The sequence below is a fragment of the Homo sapiens genome, chromosome X, assembly GCF_000001405.40.
Source record: "Homo sapiens chromosome X, GRCh38.p14 Primary Assembly".
Lineage (NCBI taxonomy): Eukaryota > Metazoa > Chordata > Mammalia > Primates > Hominidae > Homo > Homo sapiens.
Genome location: NC_000023.11, coordinates 152,971,129 through 152,979,435, shown reverse-complemented (window position 1 = coordinate 152,979,435; position 8,307 = coordinate 152,971,129). Strand labels below are relative to the sequence as shown.

The window sequence follows — 8,307 nt, the reverse complement described above, 5'->3', positions numbered from 1 at the left end:
GGGAAGGTATGGAGCAGAAGAGGGATGTGATCGGATTGAAACTCTTCACTCTTGCAGCCATGCTGGGGTACACTTCAGGGTGGGAAGGAAGGAAAGATGATTGCTTAGGTTATTGTAATCATCCACATGGGGGATTAGGGGACAATATGTTTATGGTGAAGGTGGGGAGAAATGGTTTGCCTCTGGATCTGTTTGGCAGGGAGAGTTAACAGGCTAGGCTGATGGGCTGGAAGTGCAGTGGGAGATCAGCAGGTGATGTGTAGGTTTTGGTCTATGCAAGCTGAAGAATGGGACTGCCATTTACGGAGCTGTGGATGGCAATGCATAGAGCATGGCTTCCATGGTTGAGTATGAAATGACAATTAGACTCCCCAGGTGGAAATGAGCTGTGGGAAGTTGAAACACAAGTCTGAAGTTCAGGAAGATGATGTGGGCTGGAGCAGCTGCAATTCCAGAAGGAGGCAGTGTATACTGTATCTGTTGAAGCCTGGACCCCAGTGATACAACGCAGTGAGTGCAGATAGAAAAGCGAAGGGGTCTAAGAACAAAGTCCTAGAGTACTCCAAAGTTGAGAGAATGGGATGATGAGAAAGAACCAGCAATGGAGATAGAAAAGGAGTGACCAGTGAGGTGGAAGGAAAGGCAGAATGGGCCTAGAGGCCTAGCAAAGGGAATGGACCTGATATGGTTTGGCTCTGTGTCCCCATCCAAATCTAATCACGAATTGTAATCCCCACACGTCAAGGGAGGGAGCCATAATTCCCACATGTTGAGAGAGGGAGGTGACTGGATAATGGGGGCAGTTCCCCCCATGCTGTTCTCGTGATAGTGACTTCTCAGAGATGTGATGGCTTTATAAGCGTTGGCATTTCCCCTGCTTGTACTTCTCTCTCCTGCAGCCTTGTGAAGAAGGTGCCTGCATCCCCATCACCTTCTGCCATGATTGTAAGTTTCCTGAGGCCTCCCAGCCATGTGGAACTGTGAGTCGATTAAACCTCTTTCCTTTATAAATTACCCAGTCTCAGGTATTTCTTTATAGCAGTGTGAAAACAAACTAATACATGTCCACTGGACCAAACGCTGCTGCTCAGTCAATGAGGCCTGAGAAGTGTGCATGGGGTCTAGCAATGTGGTGGTCATTGGGGACCTTAGCACTAGCATTTTTAGTACCATGGTGGAGGTGAGAGCCTCAAAGAAGTGGGTTCAAAAGAAAATGAAAAAAGAGTAAAGACTTTCATGTTTATTTAGCACCTGCTTCCTATCATTGACCAGAAGGACAGGGTCTTTGATTTGTCACTGGTGTGTCCTCAGTGCCTACTATAGTGTGTGGCCCACAGTGGGTGCTCAGGAAATATTTAAATTATTAAATGGATGAATGAATGAATGATTCTTTCTCATCCTTCAGGTTTCAGTTCAGAGGTCACCTCCCCCAGAATACCATCCTTAGCCCCAGAAATCCAGGTGACACACCTCTGTGCTCCTTTAGCTATTGCGACTGAAATAGGATTGTTGCTTTGTCTTTCTCCCCATGAGATGGTCACTCCACAAATTCACAGATTGTCTGTCTTGCTCATTGATGTATCCCCAGTGCCCCACAGAAGGCTTGATGCACTGTACAAGGAAAGTGAGTAGCCTTGAGGGGTGGAGCTGAGTGCAGGGGAACATTAAAGAGGGCCTGGAAGATAGCCTCCTTTTGTATAGCAAACTCATACTAAAGCCAAATATCATGTCCTTGTGAAAAGCTTCTCTGTTAGATGTGGTGGTATGTGCATCTGTAGTCTCAGCAACTCAGGTGGCTGAGCCTGGATAACTGCTTGAGCCCAGGAGTTTGAGGTTGCAGTGAGCTACGACCATGCCACTGCTCTCCAGCCTGGGTGACAGAGTAAAAATCTGTCTCTAAAAACAAAAATGTAAAAAAGCTTCCCTGACTAAGTGTTGTGGGAAGTCAGGGACCCCGAACGGAGAGACCAGCTGGAGCCGTGGCAGAGGAACACAAATTGTGAAGATTTCATTTTAACATGGACATTTATCAGTTCCCAAAATTAGTACTTTCATAATTTCTTATGCCTGTCTTTAATCTCTTAATCCTGTTATGTTCAAAAAGAAAGGGAGAGATGTTGCGGGAAGTCAGAGACCCTGAACGGAGGGACTGGCTGGAGCCACAGCAGAGGAACATAAATTGTGAAGATTTCATTTTAGTATGGACATTTATCAGCTCCCAAAATTAATGCTTTTATAATTTCTTATGCCGGTCTTTACTTTAATCTCTTAATCCTGTTATCTTCGTAAGCTGAGAATATACATCAGGTCCACTCAGAACCACTATTGTGTTAACTGTACAAACTGATTGTAAAACATGTGTGTTTGAACAATATGAAATCAGTGCACCTTGAAAAAGAACAGAGTAACAGCGATTTTTAGGGAACAAGGGAAGACAACCATAAGGTCTGACTGCCTGTGGGGTCGGGCAGAATAGAGCCATATTTTTCTTCTTGCAGAGAGCCTATAAACAGACGTGTGCAAGTAGGGAAGATATCACTAAATTCTCTTCCTAGCAAGGAATATTAATAATTAAGACCCTGGGAAAGGAATGCATTCCTGGGGGGGGAGGTCTATAAACGGCCGCTCTGGGAGTGTCTGTCTTATGAGGTTGAGATAAGGATAGAAATACGCCCTGGTCTCCTGCAGTACCCTCAGGCTTACTAGGATTGGGAAACCCCCAGCCCTGGTAAATTTGAGGTCAGACTGGTTCTCTGCTCTTGAACCCTGTTTTCTGTTAAGATGTTTATCAAGACAATACATGCACAGCTGAACATAGACCCCTATCAGGAGTTCTGATTTTGTCCTTGCTCTGTTTCCTCAGAAGCATGTGATCTTTGTTCTGCTTTTTGCCCCTTAAAGCATGTGACCTACTCCCCATTTGTACACCCCCTCCCCTTTTGAAATCCTTAGTAAAAACTTACTAGTTTTGTGGCTCAGGTGGGCATCACAGTCCTACCAATATGTGATGTCACCCCCGGAGGCCCAGCTATAAAATTCCTCTCTTTGTACTCTTTCTATTTCTCAGCTGGCTGACATTTATGGAAAACAGAAAGAACTTACGTTGAAATATTGGGGGCGGGTTCCCCCGATAACCAAGCAGCCCAGAGTAGGTCACTATATTATAGCATATAGGTCAAGGCTGCAGTGAGGGCCTTGACCCTGTCTCCAAAACATACCCTGTATGTTTTGTTCAGAGCACTTATCACAACAGTATTTTGTTGTGGGATGTTTGATTTACTCCTCTCCTCTTACACTGTGAGCTCCACAGAAATACAAACTGTGTCTACTTTACTGGGGCCCCCACGTCTGGCACATGGGTAGACATCCAATCAATGCTTGTTGAGTGATTAAGTGACCAACTGGAACATCAAGGTGCTGATCAAAAGAAGGCATCGATGGGCAGAAGACATTTGTGGGAGGAGATACTGAAGCAGGGGGATCTGCCAAGGGCACTACAGGCAGAGGACATGATAAGGAGGTGATCTGGCAGCCAAGCATTATGCATGCCACGTTGCAGCAAGCTCACAACTGGACAGCTAGCACAATGCGGAGCACAGTGTACAGTGGGCCTCAGAAATGAAGAGCAATGTGCAGCAGACTTTCAGAGAGAGGGAGAGGCAGTTCTCAAGCAGGGTGCATTATTCAGAGAGGCTGTGAAGGCAGAGGGCAGAGTGGACAGTGGTCACAGGCAGTGACCGCAGCTGTGCAGGGAGAACCCCATGAAGAACACATTCACAGCAAAGCACAGGGCTATAAAACAAGCCTGCACAAATTTTAAAATGTTGAAGTTATGCAAAGTGTGTTAACCTACCATAATGGAATGAAATTAGAAACTGATAACTGAAGGAAATTTGGGGAACCCACATTAAACAACAAACTCCAAAATAACCAGTGGATCAAATAAGAAGTGATAAGGGGAATTAGAAAACCTTTGAGATGAATGAAAAGGAAAACACAACATGCAGCTAGAGAAGTGCTCACAGAACAATTTCCAGCTGTACATGCATACATTCAAGAAGAAAGATATTGGCCGGGCATGGTGGCTCACACTTGTAATCCTAGCACTTTGGGAGGTCAAGGTGGGAAGACTCATTGAGCCCAGGAGTTCTAGACCAGCCTGGGCAACATGGCCAAACCCCACCTCTACAAAAAAATTCAAAGGAAAAAATTAGCCAGGCATGGTGGCACGTGCCTGTAGTCCCAGCTACTCAGGAGGTTTAAGTGGCAGGATTGCCTGTGCCCAGGAGGTCAAGGCTACAGTGAGCCATGACTGTGCCACTGCACACCAGCCTGGGAACAGGGTAACACCCTGTCTCAAAAAAAAAAAAAAAAAAAAAAAAGAAAGAAGGATCTCCAATCAATAACCTAACTTTACAACTTAAAGGAACTAGAAAAAGAAGAGCAAAGTAAATCCAAAGCAAGTAGAAGGGAAGAAATGACAAAGATTAAAGGTGACATTAATGAAACAGAGAGCAGAAAATAATAGAAAAAAATCAATAAAATGATTTTTTTTTAAAAAAGTCAATGATGTGGTTCTTTACAAACAAGAAAATCAACAGACCTTAAGTAAGACTAACTAAGCAAAGCACACTATGGCAAGGGCAATTACAGGCAGAAGCCCTTGTGCAGATAGGCCTCATTGGCTGGGCCCTAGGTGATGAACAAACTCAGCAGCAGAGATCAGAGAGCAGAAGGCATCTGCAGGTAGAAGGCACTGTGCAAGGAGCCAGGAGCAGAAGGCATTAGGAGGCAGAGGACAGTGGGAAGAAGGCATTCAGAAGCAGGTTTGGGACCTTCACAGGCAGAGGATACTGTACAGAGAAGTTTCACAAGAGGAATACATTCTGGGGAGGAAAATCCACAGGCCAAACACAATCCTAAGCAAGGAGCAGTCCCCAGAGGACATAGAGATGCATGGGTAGGAGACCGTCACAGATACAAACCTGGGATAGAAAGGAGGAGTCATGGTAATGGAGGAGGCCCAACAATAGGATCGACTTGCTGTTTCAGAATGACCCTCCCCTATTTTTCCTTTAGGTCTTTGTGTCACACTGTCACCAATTAAAAGTCCTACAAATACCTAGTTAGGAGCTACTGTTGCAGTCCTTGTCATTTGAATTAGTAAAAGCTCTTCCTTCCTTCCCATTGTAACAAGATGAAGGCCAAAGTTGGGGTGAGAAAATAGCTAGAGGGACACTAGTCCAATGGCCCTGAGGCCCCTACTCAGTGGCAGAAGGAGTTCTCGGAGTATTATGTCTATCTTTGGACTTCCTGATCACCCTTTCCTGTCCCTGGGTTGAATCAAGACTTGGATCGCATGCAGATTACACTGGTACACATCTAGAGGAATGAGTTGGAGTATGTGTTGGGGTCACCTTTGAGGAGGGCCTTTGAGAGATGTGTATTCAGAATTACTGTCAAGGAAGAGTTAGAGGGACCAGGGGTGTTTAAATGTGAGAAGAGTTGACCAAGACAGAATCTGAGAAGTATTTTCATCTATTTTAAGAGCTGGCATCTAGCGGAGGGATTAAAGACCACCAGTGGGTGACATACAGAAATGGACTTTAACTCAACTGAAGAATGCATCTTCTAAAACCACAGACAGCAGGGGCTTGTAAGGAACTGAGCTCCTGGTCACTGGAAGTGGGCACTAATGACTAGGTGGCTGTCTGTCTGCAGTGGTAATCATGAGAAGGATGGACCGCCCCCGCTCTCTGCCGCCACAATACAATATTCTTCATTAAGATTTGATGTGTCTAGAATTCCACAGTTCCTGTGCATGCCCAGTGTCTAGAGCTTGCTATTAAGTACTTGTTTACTTTTGTACAGAGAATGGCTTCAGGCAATAGGAATAAAGAAATCACACAGCTGAATACACCAAGTTATTACACTTCAAAAGAAAACTTTAACACTGACACATGTGATATCTTACCATTTATTATAATTGCGCACATTAGTGTGGATTAAGTATGATTAGAAACACTAAGCAATTGAAAAGAAGCAAAAAGGTAATGCATCCCTCTTCCTCAGATCTGCAAAATTCTGTGCCTTTTTAGACATGAGAGAGGCTGTTTTGGATCTAAGTCAATAATGGCTCTTGCAAGATTTCTTTCAATGTCTTGCATGTTGGTTCTAAAACTCCCTTAAAGGCAGACTATACCTTGAACGGGGGAAGCCAGCCTATCTTGGGCCTCTTTACCTTGCCTTTCATCCACTGGTCCTGCACTGAGACTCAGGGATAGCACCTCTCACCAACGGGGTGACTTTTATTTCCTTCACTCATTCATTGAGTGCCTGTGTGTTAGTGTCCACCACGTGCCAAGTCTGATGTTGGGGACTACAGCTGAGGAAGAGCAGTTGGTATTTAGTGTGGGTACATGCCCTCCAGAGGAAATCCACTACAAATAAATGGAATGTTCCTCTCTGATCATTTGGCAGGAAGAACAAGCCCACAAGCCAATGTGCATAGGGCTCAGAAACTGGAGAAAGACGTAGACATTTTATAATTAAATCAAGAGCAGAGGCCCTCATTTTGTATCAGAAATACTCTAAGGTTGTTCTTCCTTTCAAGGAACTTACAGAGTGATGCTGGGCCCACAGATGGCAGAGTCCAGCTGAACCTGAGCAGAGGATCGGCTGACTGCATGGACAGGCTTACATCTGCCCAGCCATCCAACGAGTTTCCATGTCCCAAGTACCTGGGGCCCCAGCAGTTGCCACTAGCTTAAGGCAGAGTCTAGACAGGAAAATGGGTCACTGAAAGCTCTCTGCTCAGATCAGCTAGCCCCCTGGAGCTTTTCCTGGATTCACAAGCTCCTCTTTGGTAATGTCTGTGAGTCAAATCTGTTCTCAGCTGAAAGCATCTCAGTTTGGAGGCATTTTCATGGGCGGAGAGGAGGGAAAGGGGCAGCTTGGCCCTTGAAGTACTTCATGGGGGGGGGGATAATTCAGGGATCCAGGATGCCCAGAGGAAGAGTGTGATTTCACACCTTCTGCTCTTTGCAAGCCTATGCCTTTGGGAGGCCTGAAGGGAGGGTGTTAACCTGGCAGGAACTGTGTACCCTCTGCACAGTGCTTGGCACACACTGAGCACAAAATCAATGCTTGCTTTTGTGGGTGCTGCTCTGGGAAGAGCATGGGCTCTGTAGCGTTCTGCGCAATGCAATAGCCACCTCTCTGAGTTCCAATATCCTCATGTCTAAGATGGGATGAGAATATCACCTTCACAGGATTATTATGGGGATTAATGCCATTACTCTGTGACAGTGCCTGCTATGTGGTAGAGCCTCAAGAAATGTTAGCTGCTTTTCCACCTCCTTAATCCTGCTGGGATCTATACACCCTAAAACCCACTTGGGAAGATTTATGTGTGAAGTTCAGGGAGCAGAATTGAGGGCAAATTAATCAGCTATCAAGATTCCAACAGACACAGATATCACTTTGATCAGTAGCATCCTAAAATCACATCCTACTGAATTTAAACCTAATTGTGTAAATTTTCCAACACATGCCAACATACCTGTAAGGGAACACTCAAATATAGTGAAAGGTGAGTGGAAGACCAAATGAAAAACTGCTATATAACTCAATCAAAAGCAACTAACTACTTTTACAAGTGTATGGAAATTTAAAAAAAATAGATATGGCAAATAGACAAGCTAAACACTAGCCTATGCCAATCCCTAGCATTTGATGTCTGCAATTTACCCACCAGGGATCATCAACAGTCTTCAACTTGGCCCATTATAAGCCTCAAGGGAGTCAGGACACACTGAACCCTACACTTCTGCCCACTTAAACTCATTAGAAAGCCAATCTGTCTTAGGGAAGCCAAGATGGAATTCCTGTTTGATCCTCTTTGGTTGAGCCTGAAATGACATCATGGGCATAAAGCGCTTTCTAAGCTACAAGAAGCTACACACACAAGCAATTATCATAGCATCATTAAGATACGATATTGGATGTATGCAACTTCAACTTGAGAAGGGCAAAAGCATGAAGAAATCAAACAGGGAGGGAGGAGGTGAGGGAAGGGGAGACAGCAACTTGGGGCAAAACTGGGGACAGCCAAATTTGTCCACGAGTCATCAGCTTCTGATCAGCCTGGCGGTGGGGGGTCGCTAAAAGAAAACAGAAGTAGCCATGAGACTGGAAACACATCAGCTAGAGGCCCTCAGGGTGGGTGACTGCTCCAGTCATCAGGAGTTACCACCTAGCTCAAGGTGTGTCTTCTGGAGAGAAGACCATCAGCATGGAGCTAGTGGA

At 45.1% G+C, this 8,307-nt stretch overlaps 1 protein-coding gene across 56 annotated transcripts in view; it reads right to left on the bottom strand.

The window, feature by feature from the left end:
• ZNF185 (zinc finger protein 185 with LIM domain) overlaps nucleotides 5,955-8,307 on the bottom strand; it is a 75,415-nt gene continuing 73,062 nt past the window's right edge. For 51 of the 56 annotated variants that reach the window (XM_017029822.3, XM_047442496.1, XM_017029821.2 and 48 more), the window contains one exon: nucleotides 5,955-8,162. The gene's annotated coding sequence lies outside the window, so the exon portion shown is untranslated. The remainder of the gene's footprint in view (nucleotides 8,163-8,307) is intronic. The other 5 variants (NM_001395254.1, NM_001388432.2, NM_001178108.2 and 2 more) reach the window with 1 other exon arrangement.